Source organism: Homo sapiens, chromosome 4 (assembly GCF_000001405.40).
Source record: "Homo sapiens chromosome 4, GRCh38.p14 Primary Assembly".
Classification (NCBI taxonomy): Eukaryota; Metazoa; Chordata; class Mammalia; order Primates; family Hominidae; genus Homo; species Homo sapiens.
The window spans coordinates 118530700-118555149 of NC_000004.12; the positions used below are offsets into that span (position 1 = coordinate 118530700).

Genomic DNA, 24450 nt, shown 5'->3' on the forward strand with positions numbered 1-24450 from the left:
TCCTAAATCTTTTGTGGCTCAGTGTAACTCTTTCCCAGTTCTCCATACTTTTGTTGCATAAAGAATGGGGTTTGCCAAATTTTTTTCATTAAGGTCTTCTATTATTGAATCAAAATGCCACTAACATCTAACAAATTAACTGACAGTTTCCACTGATGGAAGAGAAAGATCTTTCCTTATCATTAGGAAACTTTTTTTTGTGAACCTTCTTTATAGTTGGTATGTAAGTCAAATATATGAGTCAATCAATACATGAATTAAACTTTAAGCCTCTTGCCTGGACTTTTTATTCTTTATTGTACTGTGAGATCATGGAATCATTCATAACTATTGCTTTGTAAATACTAAATAAATTTTTTAAATTATGTTATTTTATTTTGAGACAGAGTCTCACTCTGTCACCCAGGCTGAAGTGTAGTGGTGCGATCTCAGCTCACTGCAACCTCTGCCTCCCAGGTTCAAGCAATTCTTGTGCCTCAGCGTCCTGAGTAGCTGGGATTATGGGTGTACACCACCACGCCTTGCTAATTTTTTTTGTATTTTTAGTAGAGATGGGGTTTCACCATGTTGGCCAGGCTGGTCTCAAACTCCTGAGCTCGGGTGATCCGCCCACCTCGGCCTCCCAAAGTGCTAGGATTACAGGCATGAGCCACCGCGCCCAGCTGATACTGATACCAAATAAACTTTGTTGAATAAATGATGCCTGGAGTCTTCCCAAATTTGTCTATATCTCCTTTGTTTTTTGTTGTTGTTGTTTTGTTGGATTTTTTTTTTTTTTTTGAGACAGAGTCTCACATTCTGTTGCCCAGGCTGGAGTATAGTGGCATGATCTCGGCTCACTGCAACCTCCACCTCCCAAGTTCAAAGGATTCTCCTGCCTCAGCCTCCCGAGTAGCTGGGACTACAGGCGCATGCCACCATGCCTGGCTAATTTTTTGTAAAAGTAGAGACAGGGTTTCACCACGTTGGCCAGACTATTCTTGAACTCCTGACCTCAAGTGATCCACCTACCTCAGCCTCCCAAAGTGCTGAGATTACAGGCGTGAGCTACTGTGCCCAGCCTCTTTTGTTTTTTAAAAGATACCTAGCTCATTATCAGTAGGCCCTGAATAGTTTAAATGCTTAAGATTCCAAATTGAAAATTTTTAAGTCAAACTCTAAAAATTTTTACGTAGAAATTCCTTGTCTTAGCCCCATTTTTACCTAGCTACAGTTATTTTTTTTGGGAAAAAAATTAGGATGTGAGAGATTGTATTTCTGTTTTATCATAATAGCATTATTCACTGTATAAGATACAATCATCCAGTAATGAAACATTTCAAGGATCCATATATGGAAGTCAGTATTGCTTGTTTATATTCACACCTGCATATGTTGATTTCATTATACAATATTTTACCTCATTTTGAAAGTCATGGTTTAAGATACAGAACTCATGTGAATCACATTTCTAGGAAACCTTAAGTGAATTTCTTAAGATCTGCTTGAGCTGTTTACAGTGGTAACACATCTGTATGAAAGGCATGTCAAGAAGAACAGAGATGTGGCTTCACAACAAGCCAAAGGCTGTATTAAAATTATGTGCTGTCTAATAAAAAAGAAAGAAGATATCTAGTTAAGTGGCAGAATAGCATAAATGTGGTTATGTTCATTGCTTTTAACAGCTGAGAAAAATAATCTTGAATAATGGGCCAAAACCAGGAAAAGGCTTCAGGGGAAAATGTAGTTACAAGTACTTACAAGGCATGTACATTTTTTAAAATTATAGCCTTATCACATTCAAGCCACATCTGGGTACTTTTTTATATACTAATAAAAATACTGTATTTTTATTTGTAGGCAGTGTAGTAATAAGAATACTGTCTTTTATTTGGAGATAGCATTTCCAAGTATGTATTTGACCTTGCTAAGCATTCATGCTTCGTAGCCAATGATACTGAGCATTCCATCTGGAGTGCCTCTAGATAGGGGATTCACAATTGGTCTTTACTGGTTAGGGGGGATTCACAATTGGTCTTTACTGGTTAGGGAACATCCAGAACTTTTTGCTCATGCACAAAGTAAAAACCTTATATGTCCTGTTATATAAGTCCAGTTGGTGCCTGCATTCGTGTACTTTTTAACTTGACTTCTTACTCCCTCTGTGTGCTAGTATAGGGTCTCTTACAAGTGTACTTTTTCCTACATTGTATAAGCAATGAGAATTTTAAATGAAGTGAAGTTAATTTGCTAATATCTTGGGGTTTTTTTTTTTTTCTTCCCATGCCTTGTAAACCTTAAACCACTATACTTGTTCTATTTGAGGTGCAGGGGAGAGCATGAGTGAGTAATCACTTAGAAGGACAAATACAAGCTAAACCAAATACTTAAACGAAATTTGTTTTTACCTATGGAAATAAAAAAATTTTTTAGCCACATGCTTATGGATTTTTACTTTATACCTGCCTTTGCAATTTTGGGGCCTGATACAAGATCCTTGACTCTTTAAAAATAATGTGGCTCTTCATTATTTGGCTGACTGGCTTTTATACCATTAGAAGGAATTGGGAAGGAGAGGGGTCGCTAATCTCTTCTGCGTTCTTCTTCCCGAATCTCATTACCGTGACCTCTGTTCAGATTAAAAGTCTCCCTGGTGCATCCTATTATAAATCATACTTTTTTATGAATCGCTGACCATATTTGTCACCATTGGGGAGGCAAATAAACCTAAAACACAGAGCCTGTGTTCCAAACGAGTTCATAATTTATACAAGGATTAAAAGCTAATTCATATCATTCTTACACCTTTGCATCCTCACAGCTTAGCTCCCACTTACAAGTGAGAACGTGTGGTGTTTGACTTTCCATTCCTGAATTACTTCACTTAGAATAATTGACATTAGACTTTTTTTCCTTATATTTTCTTTTTCCAGTTTTCCTGAGTACCTTTCATTTGATATCCCCTCTTTCCTCTTACAAAACTTTTTTTGCTTACTAAACTCTTCTAGATAGTGTGGAAACCATGAGCTTTTCTGGAATGACCCTTAAACGTCTCTCCTTAAACTCATTTTACATTTTAACACTTCTGGTCATTTACAAACTACACTAAATTATTTCTTGAAAGCTGAGTCATTACAGTTATGATCTCTTAGCCAATGTTAAATGTTTGACTTGCGGTCATAAACTTTGGTTTTAGGATTCTAAAGCTAGTATACTTCATTAATAGCCCACCACCGTTGCTTTTTTCCAGTAATATCAAAGGAAACTTAATTCCAGAGGTTCATGTGTGTATCCTCTGGAAAGTTTTACATGTAAAAACGTTTGAAAATGAATTGTGCTATTAAAAAATAGGGCAAATTTTTGGCTGGGCGTAGTGGCTCACGCCTGTAATCCCAGCTCTTTGGGAGACCAAGGCGGGCGGATCACAAGGTCAAGAGATTGAGACCATCCTGGCCAACATGGTGAAACCTCATTGCTACTAAAAATACCAAAATTAGCCGGGCGTGGTGGTGCACGCCTGTAATCCTGGCTACTCGGTAGTCTGAGGCAGGAGAATCACTTGAATCCAGGAGGCAGAGGTTGCAGTGAGCTGAGATTGCACCACTGCACTCCAACCTGGCAACAGAGTGAGAGTCCACCTCAAAAAATAATAATAAGGCAAATTTTTAAATAGCTCATTTAAAGCAATGTTTTGTTGGCAGTTTAAATCAATGAAGTCTGATAGTTTGTTTCTACTATAGTTGTAATAATATATAATCTTGCAAAGATTGTGTATTTAATTGGGTATACACATCACTAGAACTCTAATTTTTAATATATCCTTTAATCTTCCAATATACCCAAATGTACAATTATTTTTTCCAGTATACAACCCTTCAGTGAAAAAAAAGTGTTATGACTGAGATAATTTACATAGGAAAATTATAAACTTTATGACTTAAAGTACATTTCTCATGTTATCTCACCGTTTTTTCTTAAATAATGCATACTTATTTCTACAGAATTGTTGAAATTGAGTCAATGGTTCTGACACTTGGGAAAACATAAAGACTAGGACTAGTGTCAGAGAACTGAACCCTTAGCTTCTGTTTTGTTCCTTCAGCGCTATTTTCTTATCCATATTTTGTAATAAAATGGAATTAAATGTGAAAATATCTATTAGGTTTTCAAATCAACAATATATGTTGTATATACGTTAAGAATTGCTCATTTTAATACATATTTTACTATATCACATGTGGAGATTGCTGTTGTCCATGTTTTTTCTAATTAATTTATACTGTTTTCCAGAAATATTAGAAACTTCATTGTACAGATCGTCTGCATAAAAAATCCTTAATGAAAAATAGAGTTTTGGATACAATGATGCTTATCTGTATTTTATCTCATTAAGCTTGGTTATTCTGTTTCTTATTCTAGCTCATTTATTTTGGGGAATTGCAAGGATTTGCTATATTATCTAAGGGAACACTTTAAACACATTTTCAAAAGAATCACATCAACAGTTAATATGTTTTAAAAAATTATATATGGAGCAATCATGTGAGATGTAGCATGACATAGTGAAAAGATCTAGTTATGGCACAACTATGTGTGACCTTGGCCAAAAAAATGGTCGCATGTCCAGCCGCCCCGTCCGGGAGGGAGGTGGGGGGGTCAGCCCCCCGCCTGGCCAGCCGCCCCGTCCGGGAGGTGAGGGGCGCCTCTGCCCGGCCGCCCCTACTGGGAAGTGAGGAGCCCCTCTGCCCGGCCACCACCCTGTCTGGGAGGTGTGCCCAACAGCTCATTGAGAACGGGCCAGGAAGACAATCGCGGCTTTGTGGAATAGAAAGGGGGGAAAGGTGGGGAAAAGATTGAGAAATCGGATGGTTGCCGTGTCTGTGTAGAAAGAAGTAGACATGGGAGACTTTTCATTTTGTTCTGTACTAAGAAAAATTCTTCTGCCTTGGGATCCTGTTGATCTGTGACCTTACCCCCAACCCTGTGCTCTCTGAAACATGTGCTGTGTCCACTCAGGGTTAAATGGATTAAGGGCGGTGCAAGATGTGCTTTGTTAAACAGATGCTTGAAGGCAGCATGCTCGTTAAGAGTCGTCACCACACCCTAATCTCAAGTACCCAGGGACACAAACACTGCGGAAGGCCGCAGGGTCCTCTGCCTAGGAAAACCAGAGACCTTTGTTCACTTGTTTATCTGCTGACCTTCCCTCCACTATTGTCCTATGACCCTGCCAAATCCCCCTCTGTGAGAAACACCCAAGAATGATCAATAAAAAATAAATAAATAAATAAATAAATAAATAAATAAATAAATAAAAAATGGTCGCATGTCTTCTCCTGTGCCTCATTTTCCTCATCTGTAGAACAAGATGATTAATACTTCTCTTACAGAGTGGTTGTGGGAATTAAATGAGTTGAGGACTAAGAAGCTGCTTTATAATGTACTCATCATATTATAATGGTGCCTTCTGTGTATTCTAAGCTTCATGGGGACAAGGACCCTGTCTGCTTCTTCATTGCTGTAGTCTTTAGGACTTAGCCCAGTGCCTGGCACATCATAAGCAATCAGTAAATATTTGTTGGTGTTTTTCCTGCCTCTTTGTGTTGATAAATAAATGAGGAATTAACTGACGTTTCTTACAAAGTTTATATATTGACCATAAATTGGTTCTGTTGGTCCATAAACTTCAACTTAGTTCCCTTTTTAAATCTAAATTTTTATGTAATTACTAATGTGCTTGAAAGTCTTTCAAACTCACATTTTGCATAAGTTAAAAAATGTTACTTTAAGCCAGGCATGTGTCTGTAATCTTAGCTATTTGGGAGGCTGAGGTCGGAGGACTGCTTGAACTCAGGAGTTCGAGACCAGCCTGGGCAATATAACCAGACCTCCTAGGCTCTTTTTTTTTTTTTCTTTTTAAGTTACTTTGTATTTCCTTTGGATTTTGAAGTTGCAGAAACTTTCATATATACTTTTAATAATATTCTGTCATTCCAAAACCTTCCCTGTGGAAATAGCCACATTGAGTTTATGGGCAGTGGATGCAGCTTGGAAAACGTTAATGTCTTATTGAAATGAAATGTTTCTCAAAAAACAAGAATATCAGTGGTAGGTTTTGTAAGTTTCTCCCTCTTAAAAAAAAAACTCTAAAAGAAAAATCTCTATTTTCACCTTTGATTATCACAGGTAACAGTTATTTAGTTCTTCAGTCCATGTAGGTAAAAATGCAAATGGCTTTATGGAAATGAGTACTAAAGCTTGGATCCAGTCCTGCCTTAGCTACATCTAAAGGTGTGATCATGAGCAAGCCATTCAGGTTCTCTGAGATTGTGATAAACTCAGATAAATCCTACCTCAAAAGAACTTTGTGGGCCTCAAGTGACATAACATGTACTAGAAAGTGCTGTGCATAGTGTAAAGTGCTCTACGAAAGAGTGCAGGGTTCTTAATTTCTTGGTACTGTAGACCCCTTTGGCCATTTTGTGAAGCTTGTAGGGCCCTTCTCAGGTGTAAACAAAAGAATTACAAAGAAATCCAATTATATTGAAATTCAGTTATCAAAATATTTGAAAGTAAGAGTAATTTATGGTTCTTTATTAACATTAAATAAAATGTTATTATTGTGTGTTTAATGACTTCAGTAGTTTTGAAGCAGTGATGACCATAAATGATGTTTAAATATACCCGTAGCAACTGTAATGTGATCTCTGTTGATGACAAAAATCACCAGTATTGCTAATACCACTGTGGTTTGTGCCTGTATTTATAATTGAAAGAAATGCTAAGCGTCACTTAGAGGTTAGTGAATACATTGTAATTGTTTTTTCTCATTTAAGTTCATGAACTCCTTGAATTCTATCCATTATTCCCCAAGTTTAAGAACCCCTGTGATGTATTAATGCTAGTCATTAACACAGTGTGTGTTAAGGGCATAGCTCTACTCAAGGGCATTTAAAGTATATTTGTCAAGGTGATATCTTGTAGGTTATTTGGAGTTTAGTTTCATTAATCTTAATTTTGGAATTAAGGTTTAAGACTGATTATCAAAATAGTTAATAGTTAATTTGGGGTACAAATATTTAATTAGATATACAACTTACATGACTGATTATCTCATAAATGATTGTTTCTAGAGCTGTTTATTTAAAAGGGATTAAACTTCTTTTCTAAAATTATTACCAGGATCAGCCAAGATCTTGCTCTCATTGCTCGGGAGATCAACGATGTAGCAGGAGAGATAGATTCAGTGACTTCATCAGGCACTGCCCCTAGTACCACAGTAAGCACTGCTGCCACCACCCCTGGCTCTGCCATAGACACTAGAGAAGAGGTAGGAGATCTTCATGGAGAAATGCATAAGGTTCTTTCTTTTCTTTATTTCTTTTGCTTTTAGCTTTTTGCTTAGTTTATTTTAGTTATGTCCACCCTCCCTGTTTGCATGAAGCTCTGCATTTTCCAACTTTGCTTTAACAGTTTATGTTTTTGTAACAAAACTAGTGAAGGCTAACATTTGGTCTACTATTAACACGAAGCTGGAAAATTCTTTAGAAACAGCATTTTGCCTGCTAATTCTTGGTCCGTAGCTTCACTTGAAACATGAATATAAATGGTATTTTGAAAAGCAACCCAAAATTTGATAAATGATGGTATAAAGTTTCTATAAAGTTTGACTATGAAAATGCTCCAATTAAAAGTATTTTTATCGCTAGTTAACTAGAAGATACTCTGATAACAAAGAGAAAAATCCTACAGTTTCACTGCTTTAATAATTCTGTTGATAAATACAAACACATACACATAAAGATATTTTGAAAAATTGAAATATATATGTAATATACACACATACAAATACATATTCAGAACATTTTTATAAAGTCTGGAATGCAAGTTACCATGTATAGACTATTACCCATCCAATATCAGGGCCTCTTACAGTATAACTCCAGGAAGCACCATTTGCATAACATTGCTCCAGACAGCGCCTTTAACATATAATACAAAATTAATGGTACTCTTTGGCCATGTTGGCTGCTTTGATTTGGGGCAGAAATATAAGCAAAGGATTGGCATTTAAAAGAATGAACTTCTGTGTTTGGAGGTTGGCAAACTGGCCTTGCTGCCAGTTTTAATACAGACCAAAGAACTAGGAATGGTTTTTACATTTTTGAATGGCAGGAAAAAACATCTAAAGAATACTAATTCGCAACATGAAAATTACATGAAATTCAAATTTTGGTATTCATAAATAAAGTTTTATTAGAACACAGCCACACTTATTTGTTTAACTATCATCTATGGCTGTTTCTTTGCTACAGGGGCAGAACTGAGTAGTTGAGACAGAGATTGTATGGCTGCAAAGCCTGAGGTTTTATTATCTGTCTCTTTATAAATAAAAGTTTGCCAGCCCCTGGTATTGATTATTCTGCTTCTTCAATTTTACAAGATAATCCTAAATAGTAGGCAAAAATGGCTAGCCTTTTTGACAAATTTAATTGTGGTAAACTGTGCTAATAATATTTTCTTCATTTGCTTTCTGTCACATTCTTTAATCTGATTCTTTAATGGTCACTTTTTTGTTTGTTTTCCTTCAGTGTGTTGTTTAACTTAATAAATGATACTTCATCAATCTGTGTAGAGTTTTGTTACCACATTGATCAAATGTAACTGTAAATGAAATCATCCTTATTGATGAAAACCTTAAGGATCGTCCTGGTGGCAAGACATACACAATTCTTCTAGTACATTTAAAATGATGAAGATATTATTTTCTCAGCTTTCTAACTAAATTTTACCTAACATGGTTATACATTCACTCAGACCCAGTAAAATTACTTAAACATTTCATTGAATAAACTTCATTTTCTTTTTGTTTTATTTCAGAATATTGTACTAGGTTGATTCCCTCTTCAGTAAACCCGTTACTTAGTATTGTATGTCTGTGATTTGCACTGTAGATGGCAGTATATCATTTCTATTAGAATGTGTAACTTCTATAGCATTGTTAAAAGTTTATTTGACTAAGATCAAAATATTTATTTTGTGGATTAAAAAATATTTTCCTTTTGTAAACTTAATTGGAATTTGCCATTTATGTATCTTGTGAAGAAATTTGACACCTGGATTTGGGGAGGAAAAAACAAGATAGGAAACTAAAAGAAAAAGAAACATTATTTTACACTGGTAAGGCAATGTGAGTAAAATGAACTCATTGTCCATCTACATGGCTCAGCTTTTTTTCTGTTTACCATCTGTTTTCCATTTGGAGAAAATCTTATCCATGGAAGAATTGAATTTAACATAGTTATATATTTTGGATTTTGAAATAAAACCTATGTAGATGAATCTCGATTTTATAAAGGAAATACATTTGAAGTGCTTATAAAAAGAAAGAGTAATTGGTTTATTGAAGATGTTATGCCTCTGTTACTACTTGAGAATGGAATAACTTCTGTCTAATTATAAAAATTGTAATGCCAATATTGGTACTTTTTCTTTTTCAAATTACTGTGTTCTCATAAAGGTTTGCTTTCGTCCCATTAGTTGGTTGATCGTGTTTTTGATGAAAGCCTCAACTTCCAAAAGATTCCTCCATTAGTTCATTCCAAAACACCAGAAGGAAACAACGGTCGATCTGGTGATCCAAGACCTCAAGCAGCAGAGCCTCCCGATCACTTAACAATTACAAGGCGGAGAACCTGGAGCAGGGATGAAGTAAGTAAACTATAAATTTTAACATGCGGCAGAAGCAGCATGTTCCGTAAGAAAAGGAGGAACCGTTCAGTGAGTAGGGCTGGGGAAAAAGTGATTCTCCTTAATGAATGCAATGAAATTTCACCATGACATCACATCATATACAAATAATTATGTCACTTAGAGGTTAGCGAAAATAATACTGTAATTGTTTTTTCTCATTTAAGTTCATGAATATGAATTTAGTTCTTAAATTCATTCTCCAAATGAATTTAGAACATGAAGCATGTTCCGTAAGTGAGAAAAGGAGGAACCATTCAGTAAGTAGGGCTGGGAAGAAAGTGATTCTCCTTAATAAATGCAATGAAATTTCACCATGACATCACATCATATACAAATAATTATGTCACTTAGAGGTTAGTGAAAATAATATTGTAATTGCTTTTTCTCATTTAAGTTCATGAATATGAATTTAGTTCTTAAATTCATTCTCTAAATGAATTTAGTTCTTAAATAATGCATGAAAAACTGTAAAACTTTTACTTAAAAAATACAGACAAATATCTTTCAATATTGTACTAGGGAGTGATTTCTTAAACACAAACTTTTGGCCTTAGAAAATTGAGACATTTGAGTATATTAAAATTAAGGACTTTTTCTTTATTAAAAAATAAAGAAGGTAGAAATACAAGTTACAAACTTTTGCAAAACATACAGCCTATGAAGGATTAGTATACAGTATATATAAAGAACTCCCTCCAATCAATTAAAAAACACAATAGAAAAATCTGCAAAGACATGAACAACATTTCACCAAAGAGAAAATACTGAGGCGGGCAGATCACCTGAGGTCAGGAGTTTCAGACCAGCCTGGCCAACATGGTGAAACTCTGTCTCTACTACAAATAAGAAAATTAGCCAGGCGTGGTGGCATGTGCCTGTAATCCCAGCTACTCAGAAGGCTGAGGCAGGAGAATCACGTGAACCCGGGAGGCAGAGGTTGCAGTGAGCTGAACCCACACCACTGCACTCCAGCCTGGGTGACAGAGTGAGACTCTGTCTCCAAAAAAAAAAAAGAAAAAGAAAATACTTAAGGCCTACAAAACATAAAGAGAAGTTTAACTTAACGAGCATTCAGAGAAATGCATGTCAAGACTACGGTGAGATTATAATCATTCAATTGTTGACACGTTAAAGTCTTAAAATGTTAAGTATTGGAGGAAAGGTAGATACATAGGCTTTCTTATGTGTGGTTGGTGGAGGTTAAGTTGGTGCTGCGGCTCTGGAAAACAGTTTGACACTATCTCCTAAAGTTGAAAATAAAGACATCACATGATCTGGCAATTTTCTTGCTAGTATATGTACAAGAAAAACCCTTTCCCATTGACAGTAGAAGTTACATTTATAGTAACATTGTTGACAGTATCAAAAACTTGGAAACTGTTTACATCAGCTGAAAAGTGAATGTATAAACTGGTATATTCCCAAATTGAACAATAATAGAGTAATAAAAAACTCAAAGATATAAAGGAGTTTCTTCATAAAAGAATGGTTATTTCAAATACTACTGTGGAAAGAGGTGATTTATGAACAACACACAGAGGTGGTATAGGCTTAAGGGCTGGGTAGAGGAATAATGTAGAAAGAAACAGTTGACCAGAAGAGATTGATCATAGATTAATATTTGTGGATCCCTGGATTTAGGAATAAGATCTTGAGATTATTATGTAAGAATATGTATGTTTCTCATGGTACTGAGTAGAAAAAGATCTACCTGGTAGAAAAGTATGCAACTAGCCCGAAAGTTACAACTGAAGTATACTAAAACGTTTTACAGCATACTTGATCTGTCCTGGCCTAATAGTTGATTTGTTCTTGGTATCAGGAAAAGAGCCTATTCTCTAAACTTACTCATAATCATTCTGTCCCGATGTCTAGGAAGACAAATTTCTCCAAACATAATAAAACTATGTGGAAGAAGTGTATGTTTTTAAAGAGAATGGAAACATCTAGATTGATAGTTATCTCAAGGTTGAGATCAGGAATTTATTTAATACTTTGTGACAACAAACTAAACTTCATGAGCAAAGAAAAGAGAAATATCCTATTCTGTGTTGCAATGTTTCCTTAGACTCTCCTGCCCTTTCTCATGCCTTCCTAATTTGTATATGTCTTCCATCCTTATTTGATTGTTTTCTTAAGGCCCACAAAAACCATTTTGCTTATTTATCCTTTCCTTGACAATGTTATTTTTCACAACCTAAATAAACTTTTGTTACCCACTAAATTCAAATCCTTGTCATTCTGAAGTTAGTTCATGTTTTTCCATGATCACTTCCTTATTTATGCCACTCATCAATGAACTCTCTTTCATTAGAATTCTTTTTTCTTTTTTTTTTTTTTTTTTGAGAGGGAGTCTCGCTTTGTCACCAGGCTGGAGGGCAGTGGTGCTATCTCCGCCCACTGCAACCTCTGCCTCCCAGGTTCAAGCAATTCCCCTGCCTTAGCCTCCCGAGTAGCTGGGACTACAGGCACACACCAGCACACCCCGCTAATTTTTGTATTTTTAGTAGAGATGGGGTTTCACCATGTTGGCCAGGATGGTCTCGATCTCCTGACCTCGTGATCCACCCACCCCAGCCTCCCAAAGTGCTGGGATTACAGGCGTGAGCCACTGCGCCCGGCCTCATTAGAATTCTTACAGCACTGAATCCCAAAATTTATATGAACGTCTCTTGTTTTGTAGGCCTTAGGCTTAATGATAAAATATGTAATCGTATTCCCTGTATATTACCGTCACCTCTCCCAGTGGTCTTTAAACCTTTTTGCCTTCTAGGGCCTTATTTTCTGTTTTCTTTCAGGCTCTGGATATAGTACTGACAATATAAGGAGTTCATTTTGAAACCCACGGCTAGACTCAAGTTTTGTCCTTTTTCTACCATGCTTCATTAGCTTTGCCTTTCATGATTTGGCCTAGGGCTTGGCAAACTTCAGCCCATAGGCCAAATCCAACCTGTCACTTGTTTTGTAAAAGTTTTGTTACAACACGGCTATGTCCACATGCATAATTTGCTCATTATTTATGGCTGCTTTCACTCTGCAAAGGCAGAGTTGAGGAATTGTGGCAGAGACCCTATGTCCCTCAAATACTAAAACCTTCACCCTCTGGCTCTTTACAGAGGTTGGTGACCCCTGGTTTTGCCCATGCATCTCAACTGGGGTAATACCAACACTCAGTACAAAAACTTACTATTTTGTGTAAATTTTTCAAAATGTATGTTTCCCACTAGACTCTTTGCTGGAGAACAAGGATTGTACTCTTCTTGATTTCTGTATTCACATTACTTAGACCCTATGTCCCTCAAAGACTAAAACCTTCACCCTCTGGCTCTTTACAGAGATTGGTGACCCCTGGTTTTGCCCATGCATCTCAACTGGAGTAATACCAACACCCAGTATAAAAACTTACTATTTTGCGTAAATTTTTCAAAATGTATGTTTCCCACTAAACTCTTTGCTGGAGAACAAGGATTGTACTCTTCTTGATTTCTGTATTCACATTACTTGGTGAAAGAATAAATAATAAATTTAGTACTCTAAGTTATTTGTATCTTCTCTTTTATAATTCAGTTGGAAGTAAGAGAGACAGGATCACAATAGTAATTGAAGATAAACTGAGGATAAAATGGATTGTGTTTGGAAACTGATATGACCAAAATAATACGGAAACTTTGACAAGTTATTTAATAATAAGAACTCCTTTGTTAATAGTGTTTCTTTCACTTTCTCTTTAGTTACATATTAATTATATTCTTCACTGGTTTATAATTAAAATAAGCATAAATACTAACTGCCCCTAACTATAGTGACTTGTGACTAGTGATCTCAGTAGTTATACAATACAGGGGTAATATTTTAATATCTACTTTTTTCTTTGGCTGTTTCAGGTCATGGGAGATAATCTGCTGCTGTCATCCGTCTTTCAGTTCTCTAAGAAGATAAGACAATCTATAGATAAGACAGCTGGAAAGATCAGGTACATGTACATATAGCTTTAACTTTAATATCACCTCACTTTGCTTTTTGCTTTTTCTCAAGGTTAAAAATGTGTCATCAGAATGAATATGTTTACCTTTGGAAAAATTTGTCCCAAAGTAAATATCTATCCAGTACTACTTTGTAACTTTAAATTTATTACTAATTCAAAACATAAATAGACTTACAGATTTTATTCAACAGTACTTCAGAAATCCATGCTGCTATTGCTTATTTCTGATTCCTATAATTAAAATTTAAAATGTAATGAAACAGTATTTGAACATGGTTTGTGAATTGTAATATTCCACACAAATATAATTCTATATTGCTTATATATTGAAATAATATATTTTATCAGCATTTGATGAGTACCAAGAAGCCATTAAATTTTTTCAAAAACAATTTCAAAAGCACCATTTAAAAATTAAAGTATTCTTAAAAACAGTCTATTTAACTTAAAGCAATCTGTTTTAAGTTACTGTAAACGAAGTTTGCATCATCTTCTAGAAAAATTGAGAAATTCAGAAGGAAATGTAGAAAGTTGGCCTATATAGGTAAATTTTACTTGGCATGTTAAGAAACAGAAAGAGCTTTCTTTTTATCTTGAGCCTGTATCTTAAAAATTTCTTAAAGGTGGCCGGGCATGGTGGCTCACGCCTGTAATCCCAGCACTTTGGGAGGCCGAGGCGGGCAGATCATGAGGTCAGGAGATCAAGACCATCCTGGCTAACACGGTGAAACCCTGTCTCTATTAAAATTCAAAAAAATTAGCCGGGCGTGGTGGTGGGCGCCTGTAGTCCCAGTTACTCGGGAGGCTGAGGCAGGAGAATGGTGTGAACCCGGGAGGCAGAGCTTCCAGTGAGCCGAGATCGCACCACTGCACTCCAGCCTGGGCAACAGAGCGAGACTCTGTCTCAAATAAATAAATAAATAATAATTTCTTAAAGGTGTACCAGACTTTCTCTTCACTTTATTGCCTCCTAAAAGAATATTAATATAAAATTCCTTATGTTAAAAGTAATGTATTCTGCACTGTCTTGTCCCATTTTTCTATTTATTTTAAAATGTATAGCTTTTTAGCAAAAGTAATACATGAACATGGTTAAAAAATATAAATATTCCAGAAAAATATATATTATATCTAATAGTGGGTGTGTTTCCCCACTCTGGGTTCATTTCTCAAAGGTTTATACAAACATGATCATATTTTATCTACTTTTGTACCTTGATCTTTTCTCTTAATTAGATCTTTACTTTCCCCAAAGAGTATGAGTGAAATGTATTGACAGACCCCTCCATATTTGATTGGCATATGAGGCATGCTGCCTTAGTGAAAAAATAGCTGAGTCTGGGTGCAGTGGCTCATGCCTGGTAATCCTAGCACCTTGGGAGGCCAAGGCAGGCAGATCATTTGAGCCTAGGACTTGAAGACCAGCCTGAGCCACAAAGCGAGATTAAAAAAAAAAAAAATTGGCTGGGCATGGTGGCACATGCCTATAGTCCCAGCTATTTGAGAGGCTGAAATGGGAGGATCACTGGAGCTCATGGGTTCAGAGTTACAGTGAGCCATGATCATGGCACTGCACCACAGCCTGGGCGACAGAGCAAGACCCTATCTCAAAAAACAGCAATAGAATGTTTAAAACGTTTGGCTTTTCGTAAAGAGTACCTTGTACATATAAATAATGTTGAAGGTGTTTTTAATGACTACCATTACGTACCTATCCATTGTTTTTTAAAGAGAATTTACCTTTATCAATTCCCATATATTCTTATGAATTTTAAATAGACTTAATTTTCTACAGAATAATATTTTAATATTTACTTGTTAACAAATAAGTATTAGGTACATTCTAGGTACTTTATAATTAGACATTGACAAAACAAAGACCCCTGTTCTCATGAAATTTACATTCTATATCATGTAAACCAATCAGCTTGTATTAAGTTAGCTATTTCTGCTATCTACACATGATTTGACTTAATTTCATTATTTCACTTGAATATTACCTGTATTTTACTACTCACATTTTCTATTTCCACTTGAAACCCAATAACCTGCATCAACTTTTTCTTATTATTAAAATCACTGGTTACACTGATGAGATAAAAAGTATAATAACAATATTAATTTCAGGTATAAATTGGAACCTTATTAACTAAAAAATTTTAAGGCTTATAATTGATTTTAGAGAAATTAAATTAGTTGCATGCTGTTTATAAATACCACATTTTATAAATCCTGATAGGGCTTATAAATGAGTCCATTGTTTTTCTTTTACTCACACTCAGTGATTAAGTAATTAGCACCCTATTATTGTCTTACGTGAGATATAGTACATGTTTTCCCCTAGTGACTCCATCATTCCTGGGTTTACTTCTTTCACAAGTAAGAGAATCCCCTTCACCGTGCAACCCATTCACCTATGATTTGCTAATATATCCTATGGCCAGAGACAAATGAAGTCCACCATTCCCTGGGGTAAAGCCTAACTGAAATTTGTAGGGAAAAAAATTTTAAGCTTAACTTACTAGTTTTTACACATGAATAAACAAATCTATAGGCCTCAATCACACAGCTGCTTATTAATATCATGATTTGGCTCAAGCATTCATTGTAGTTAAATGTAATATATAATTGTTATCATTTTTATTTTAGTTCCACTAAAATTATTTTCTAAAGCTGGGGCATTATGGAAGGATTATTAACCAAAGAAATAAATAAATGAAATAAATATTGGTTAAGATCATCTTATATGGGAATAAAGTCTCCAGACTCATTCATTCATTGAATGATTTTTGACTGTATGTTATTTGTCTAGCACTGTTTTTGATGTCCTCACATTTGAGTGTAGAAGGCAGGTAAACAGGTAATTATAGTTCAGTGTGTTAAGGGAAATATAGGATGGTTACTACGGAAGCCCATAGCAAGGGCACTTGGGAAATTCAGAGAAGGGCTCTTAGAGAAATTGCCATGCAATTTAAGTCCTGAATGATGAGGAGAGGTGTTACTCAAAAGCTATGTGAAGTGAAAGGGCCAGAGTATGGTGAGAGATGACACTAGAGAGATGAGGATGAATCTGTTTTGGCAGAATTTGTTAAGGAGTTTGGATTTTATCATTAAAAACCATAGGAAGCTAATATATCCAATATGGGTCCTCTTGATACACCAGTGCTATCTGTAAAAACATCATGACAGTCTTGTATGGTCATGTGGCTTGCACCTGGAAAACCCTGGAGTCTCCTTACCTGTAAACAAGTACACAATGTTTTTTCATCCTACCTACTGAAATACAGGTCCGTCCCTGATAACTGGATTCTTAACCACTCATTCATTTATTCAGCAGATGTTCACAGATTACCTGCCGTGTACCATTCTCTTCCTTACCACGGAGCAGCTTTCCTACATTCTGTAGTCTCCCCCAAAGAACAATATTTTTTGTAGCTTTGACATTGAACTAAAATTGAGAACAAAGAAGACATTGCTGATGGATTGATAAACTGTATTGTCTCAGAAAGTGACAGAATTTATAAAGTTTAAAAAAGGATGCATAAAAATGCCTCAATAAAGTTATACATAAATACAGAATGTTTAATGTATTTGAATTGCCTTCAGTTCGAGTGTTGAGTTTTACTATGCATAAAGCACTATGGCAGGCTTTATGGAAGGTAATGAGGATAAAACCATTTCTATTATTAAAGAGTTTCCAGTGTAGTTGGCAAGGTGAAGCACATATACAATCAACTATCATACAAGATAGCGTATAATAGATTAGTGCTCAGTTAGAGATATAAAGGCAAAGGAAGGATCACTTTCACCTAGGAGATTTAGGGAAGGCTTTGGGAAGAAGATACTATTCAAAGGTAGGTCTGAGTTGTGATAACCAAACCTAAGGGGTAGAGACCTGGGCCTTCTGCATGGAAAGTGCCAGGGTAGTTTGAGAATCAACTGGTCTTTAAGCTTTGTGTCAGGAGTTATAACCTCAAATGTCTACTGGGGTTCATCCTAGAGGCATGCGTATTTACATTGTATGAACACTGTCTGTGGAATCAATTTTTAAATATTTATACAGGAACTCCTGTTGTACAGCATTCTCATTGCATTCCATGTGAAAATGACCCCCTTAGGTTGTGTAGCACGGCCTTGCATTGGTAGACTCTCAATTCGCAACTCCGCGTTCGCATGTTTTAAGGGCTAGTACTAGGGAATTGGTTATGGCTCGTAGAATAGGAGCCTGAGACTTCTGTTTGTTTCCCTAAAACCAATGGCTTTATCAAAAGTATTTAACTTAATTCTTAAATTATTGAATGAAATAAGCTTTGGAATTTTATGTATTTTCATGCTGAAGTTTAGCTTATTTTGAATCTATAATATAATCTGAATATCACTTTGAAAGCTATGATTTTTTCAGCTTAAAATTGATAAGGACCTTCAAACAAAAACAAGTTCTGATCATTATAGCCTGGTCTAAACTAATTTCTTGGTCTGATTTTCTGATTCTCTAGTATTTAAATATTAAATATTATAGTAAATATTACAGTAAAGTTTATTTCATAATGCCAAAATGACAAGTTTGACTTCTTAGATCTGTTCTATTACATATTACAAATTGTTTTTTGTTTTTTGTTTTTTGTTTTTGAGATGGGCTGGAGTGCAGTGGCATGTTCACAACTCACTCACTCAGTGCAGCCTCGATCTCCCTGGGCACAAGCAATCCTCCCACCTCAGCCTTCTTAGTAGCTAGGACTACAGGCATCTGCACCACACCTGGCTAATTTTTTTGTATTTTTTATAGAGACGAGGTCTCGCCATGTTGCCCAGGCTGGTCTCGATCTCCTGGAATCAAGTGATCCACCCACCTTGGCTTCCTAAAGTGCTAGGATTACAGGCATGAGCCATTGTGCCTGGCCAACAAACTGTATTTTAAAATAAACCATTTATTTCTTCAGGGGGGCATTTTTTTTTCAGGGGCAACCCGTGAAAAACCCATTTTCACCAAAGGTGAAATGTCTATGGTCTAACAGTTTTAGATCCACAAACACTATACTCAGTAGCCATCCTCTGGAAAAATTCACTGAATTTTTAGCACTGTGTGGCTAAACAGAGTCTTTCTCTATTGTATAAGTCCATTACAGTTCTAAGTTGGTCCATGAAATAGTCATTATTTCCTTATTTTCCATCAGTCCTAATGCTGCAAGGACTCTTTTACAAGAACATAATAATTTAGAAAAGATGGCTGGCAAGGGTGTTCATTTTTTTGAGTTTAGAAAATTTAATAAGTAGGCCATAAGAATATTCTTATACCAGATTCTAGACCCGTTGCCACCTTAAGCAAATGTTCCAGACTTGATGTGATGTTAATGAGTTTCATGTTTTTAAATAAGGTAAGTCTGGCATGTTGATCTTTGAAGAAATACCAGCACAAATATTAACTTAGTTTACTACTTAAATGCTGATCAGCTTGCAGTAGTAATACATTTACATGAGGTTATATAGTGTTGTTTAAACTAGATTTCCAGACTTACTGAAAAAATTTTAAAAGAAACCAAAAAAGTAGCTAGTATTTACATCTTTCTAAGACTGCTGAATCATGTCTGATAGACTCTAAAGTGTTAGAAAAGTGTCCCACATTTGAAAGACACGTCAAAATTTTGTGGTCCTTTATTTTATAAGTTATTTGATGTTAGGGTAATGATAGGATAATTATCTTTATTGGCAATTGTTTTTATCAAAAGGATAGCATCCTAATTCCTAATAGGTTATTATGTGCAAGTATACTAACACGAATTAACAATTGTTAAAGAAAAGCACAGTAAGTACTCCCAATTTTTGGTCTTTAAAATAATATAGACACTTTTCTTGATCGATAAGGTGCTTATTCCTATATAAAGAGGTCTTAACAGACACAATTGTTTATACCTAATTCAACCTATTTTCATCTCACTTATTCCTATACTGCATATATTCTGTCTGAATAAAATTGCATTTTCTTTATAAGTGACAGTTACACAGTCTTTTCTCCTTATACCCAGGTGATACATGTTGTTCCCAGATATCCACTGGATGCCTGACACCACAGATAGTTCTAAAACCTAATATACTGTGTATTTTCCTACACATACATGCCTATGATAAAGTTTAATTTATAAATTAGGCACAGTAAGAGATTAACAATAGTAACTAATAATAAAATAGAACATTTGTAACAATATACTGTAAAAAAAAGTTATGTGAGTGTGGTCTTTTCTCTCTCTCTCTCTCTCTCTCCCTCTCCCAAAATACTGTAATAGTTTCGGACCATGCTTGACTGCCACTAACTAAAACCATGGAAAGAGAAACCGTGGATAAGAGGGCATTACTGTATTGTAAATTATAAATATTAAAGTTTTGAGGTCATAACATCATTTACATTTGTTTTATATTTTGTTTTCAATAAAGAATAAGATAAACGGTAAAGAATATATGCATGTATTAATAAGCATTCAATTGGAGCTCATACACATGAATTAATTGGTACTGTTGGCTTAGTATTTTAATTCTCAGTTTATGCAATGGTTGGTTTTTTTTCTTTGTGTACCTTTGAAAAGATACATTGCTTTGGTATTATTAACAAAAAAGTAATAGGTTTTTAAAATATAAAAAGTTATATGCTTATGTTTTTTGATTTATAGAATATTATTTAAAGACAAAGATCGGAATTGGGATGACATAGAAAGCAAATTAAGAGCCGAAAGTGAAGTCCCTATTGTGAAAACCTCGAGCATGGTATAGTAATTTTTCTTGAAGATTAAAACATTTTAATAGGGTTTTATTTTAAGGAAAAGACCCTTATTTTTGAGCTGTTCGTTGATTTGCTTTTTCAAAAGAAGATATAAATGCAAAATTTTGGGAAATTTTATTTCTTCTACTGACTCACAGGTTTAAAATGTTGATTGTTTCAAAGTTGCAGAGGGTATGAAGGAGGAGCCTTTTGTGTTTCTTACTAGTGTAGATTGTTCTTGTAATAATTAAACATTAGAAACATGAAATTTTTAAAGAGAACCAAATCTAACATGAAAATATTAAGTTGACATAAGTCGTTTCCGTTTACTTAATATAATGCTTATCTTCTTTTTAAAAGAATTTGTACAGATTTTCATTGCTCAGAATATAATTATAATATTGAGGTTGCAGTTTATATGTTTTTACAAAGATAATTTGAAGGCATTTTTACATAGTCATTGCAAGGTTGATTAATAAGAATTTTAAAAATCTTTGCGGCCGGGTACTGTGGCTCACGCCTATAATCCCAGCACTTTGTGAGGCCAAGGAGGGTGGATCACTTGAGGTCAGGAGTTGAAGACCAGCCTGGCCAATATGGCGAAACTCTGTCTTTACTAAAAATACAAAAATTAGCCAGGCATTGTGGCGGGCGCCTATCATCCCAACTCCTTTGGGGGCTGAGGCAAGAGAATTACTTGAACCTGGGAGGAGGAGGTTACAGTGAGCCAAGATTGCACCATTGCACTCCAGTCTGGGCAACAGAGTGAGACTCGGTCTCAAAAAAAAAAAAAAAGTCTTTGCTTAAATAGTAGTAAATGACTTTAAACTTTTCATCTGCTACAATCATCTCATTGAAAAAGTTATTCTATTTCATTTTAGTTTAAATATTTTAATTTGAATCTTGTTTGCTAGATATCATAATTATTTCATATCATGTTGCTATTAATGTAGTAAGTACCATGTAGATAATATTAAGTGTTCCAAATAAAGTGAGAGTGAAATTCATTGCTTGTAAAGTGATAACATTTAGCTAAAAGTAGGCTAATTTTTGTTATTGCTTTCCCTGCAGGAGATTTCTTCTATCTTACAGGAACTGAAAAGAGTAGAAAAGCAGCTACAAGGTAAATTTACTACTGAATTAAGTATAAAGAGCTAATAATTTAGAATAAGTGCCTTCTGAGTGGTATTTCTTAAAATATTCTTATTGTTAGGATGTTATTTGATTAAATGTAATGACATACATAAAATACAGAGTTCAAACATTCACATTATTCATAAAAAGGAATTTTTTTAAACCCAGTATAAAAATTTAAAATATAATAAAGATATATGTTGGGCATATTTTAGTTCATAGGTTTGACAATAGGCTAGATGTCATAAACTAATTGAAATTTTTTATGTATTACATATAAATAATATGTGAAAAATATGTAATAAAGTTGTGTTAATTAGCATTATTTGTGTGATTTGACAGTTCTTAAATTATGTTGGTGGTGTAACCTGAAACAAACTTACATTCTAATAGAAATAATAGTTGTTTGGTTGACAAGAAATGAGTACATATTGGCCATAGAGACCAGAAGAGAAAGGAGAGAAGAAAGTGAAAGAGGCTGCCCTCTAAACTTGTCAGAGCTGGGCTGTGTGCATTAATGCCTATGTATGTCTTGACCCAGAAGTCCCCAGTGGTACAACAGGCAGGTTCCATAGTCAACTGCTAATTCTACTGAGTCTTTATCTATCGAATAATCATAGGTACTTATGTGGATCCTATCAAAATGATTTTTCATCTTTATTTAGCCCCAACACACCTAAGGGTTATGGTATAACCCATGAGTAAAAGTGGCTTGCTAACACAGTGCTTGTTAGCTGGTAGACTGGGGGTATACTTTTAAAAGTCCCTTCTACATGATTCTTACATCTATGTTACTTCCTTCTCCCAACTCCCTACTCTGCCCAATGCCAAATTGAAAATCACCGCCTGAGAACTTTCCATGTCAACCCAAAGATCTTTTGGACTGAAAGCTGACCTTTAACTGACCCCTTCCACACAGGCAGCAAGTCTGTTTGGCTTTGCAAGCTGCCCTGTGATATTAGTCTGTAGGCTCTGAGGGAACCCCTGTATCTCAGTGGTATATACAGCTGATACCCTAGCACTCTGGCCAGGCTAAATGACCGTATTCTATGGTAGCATTCAAAGTATGCTGATGTTCTTCTGGCCTCTCCAGCCTTGAGGTTACTCTGAACCCTGACTTAGCAGCTAATACCTCAGTTATCTGAGTGATAAATAGGGTTTAGATGTTTATTAAAAATCATATTCAGTATTTTCTCTATCCTCTCACAATAATGAAGACAAATTTCAACAAGATTTTTCTTGAATTCCACGTCTTCAAATACCAGACTTATAAGTCTCTGAAATGCCCGTAAGTGCCACATCAAAGGACCCAGAGAAAGTATTCAGGGCTGGGTAATTTACAGTACAGCTACAGAATAACTAAGAATGGAGTTTTAAATATAATATTGGAAGATTAGCCACATTTAAGATCACATACGCACTGATAGTTTAAATATTATCCAAATCATGAACAGTGTTTATATGTGAATGTAACTGCATCTAGAATTATTTCCTTTTCCCGCCCTTTAGCAATCAATGCTATGATTGATCCTGATGGAACTTTGGAGGCTCTGAACAACATGGGATTTCCCAGTGCTATGTTGCCATCTCCACCGAAACAGAAGTCCAGCCCTGTGAATAACCACCACAGCCCGGGTCAGACACCAACACTTGGCCAACCAGAAGCTAGGGCTCTTCATCCTGCTGCTGTTTCAGCCGCAGCTGAATTTGAGAATGCTGAATCTGAGGCTGATTTCAGTATACATTTCAATAGAGTCAACCCTGATGGGGAAGAGGAAGATGTTACAGTACATAAATGACTTTCTCTTGATTGTTGAAAAATCATTACCTGTGGAATGACTAGGAATATTGGAAGCAGCATAGTGTTGACGTACGCAAAACAAGACAGCTTGGTCAGCTACAATCTTGGAATCCGTGTCTTCTTAATTTTATTTATTTATTTTTGACGTATAATGTAGTATGTCAATCCTTTCGAACTATTTAGATAACCACTTGATGCACAAATAGGAAAAAGCAGATTGTGGCAGTGTCGCCTTTTGTGGTTTTATGATTTTCAAATTGAATTTAATGATTACACCCTTTCCCTTCATAGATCTTTTTTCTTTTTTTTAAGCCATGCTGTGACCTACAAGCAAACTAAATAGCCAACATTTCTGAACCCCTATGTCTCCTGTGCCAAGCTGCTCCCTGAAATGGACTTCTTCATCTGTACAGATTTGTTAAACCATTCTATTTGCTTCTTAATAATAGGATTTATATTAGTACTCATTACCATTGGACACAATGACATAAGTACTCTCCACAGTAAAGCAGACCTTTCACAACAGTCACTCTGTGTCCTAAAATTTTCCAACATAGATGTGATTTATATAACTTTGTTGATACGTAAATTGTCTTGGGGTTTACGGAAATTAACTATTATGTTTGCACTAAGATTTGCTGGGAGTGGTAGGTGGACATATCTATATATCAATAAGGACTAACCGTCTTTTTTGTACATAGGAGATTGATAATACTGTATTTGTTTTAACCCCACAGTGTTTTACTCCACTTTCAAAAAGATCAATTTGGCACTTTTTTTCATTTTTTTTAATGGAAATAAGATTTGGTCTCTCATTTTAGGTTAAATGATAACTAGAAAGATTAAACTAGACAGATAGTTTAGGTGGAGTATATTTTTAAAACTCAGAACATGTATATTGGTCCTGTGTTACCAAGTTTATATGTGACAGTTGAAAAAAAAATTCCCTTGAAATGATCATGAGGTTAAAATTTTCTTCATTAGGGGACTTGGAGAACCAGTAGTCATAAGATTAGTTGATAGTTTCACTCCCAAGCAATGAATTGC

The 24450-nt window shown here is 35.3% G+C and overlaps 1 pseudogene across 1 annotated transcript in view, besides 3 other annotated features; it reads left to right on the forward strand.

Annotated features, from left to right (window-relative positions):
- Window positions 1-23505, forward strand: part of CEP170P1 (centrosomal protein 170 pseudogene 1) — a 37880-nt pseudogene extending 14375 nt beyond the window's left edge. Inside the window, exons 3-8 of the transcript NR_003135.3 lie at window positions 7162-7258; window positions 9520-9690; window positions 13617-13705; window positions 20380-20473; window positions 21540-21591; window positions 23112-23505. The product of NR_003135.3 is annotated as a centrosomal protein 170 pseudogene 1 (transcript). The remainder of the gene's footprint in view (window positions 1-7161; window positions 7259-9519; window positions 9691-13616; window positions 13706-20379; window positions 20474-21539; window positions 21592-23111) is intronic.
- Window positions 639-1138: an enhancer, noted in NCBI's record as "H3K4me1 hESC enhancer chr4:119452493-119452992 (GRCh37/hg19 assembly coordinates)". NCBI's record gives its function as "activates a minimal SCP1, AML or CMV promoter by ChIP-STARR-seq in primed H9 embryonic stem cells {active_cell/tissue: H9 hESC(primed)}" and the evidence as "EXISTENCE:reporter gene assay evidence [ECO:0000049][PMID:30033119]".
- Window positions 2380-2880: an enhancer, noted in NCBI's record as "H3K27ac hESC enhancer chr4:119454234-119454734 (GRCh37/hg19 assembly coordinates)". NCBI's record gives its function as "activates a minimal SCP1, AML or CMV promoter by ChIP-STARR-seq in primed H9 embryonic stem cells {active_cell/tissue: H9 hESC(primed)}" and the evidence as "EXISTENCE:reporter gene assay evidence [ECO:0000049][PMID:30033119]".
- Window positions 2881-3381: an enhancer, noted in NCBI's record as "H3K27ac hESC enhancer chr4:119454735-119455235 (GRCh37/hg19 assembly coordinates)". NCBI's record gives its function as "activates a minimal SCP1, AML or CMV promoter by ChIP-STARR-seq in primed H9 embryonic stem cells {active_cell/tissue: H9 hESC(primed)}" and the evidence as "EXISTENCE:reporter gene assay evidence [ECO:0000049][PMID:30033119]".
- Window positions 23506-24450: the final 945 nt, after the last annotated feature.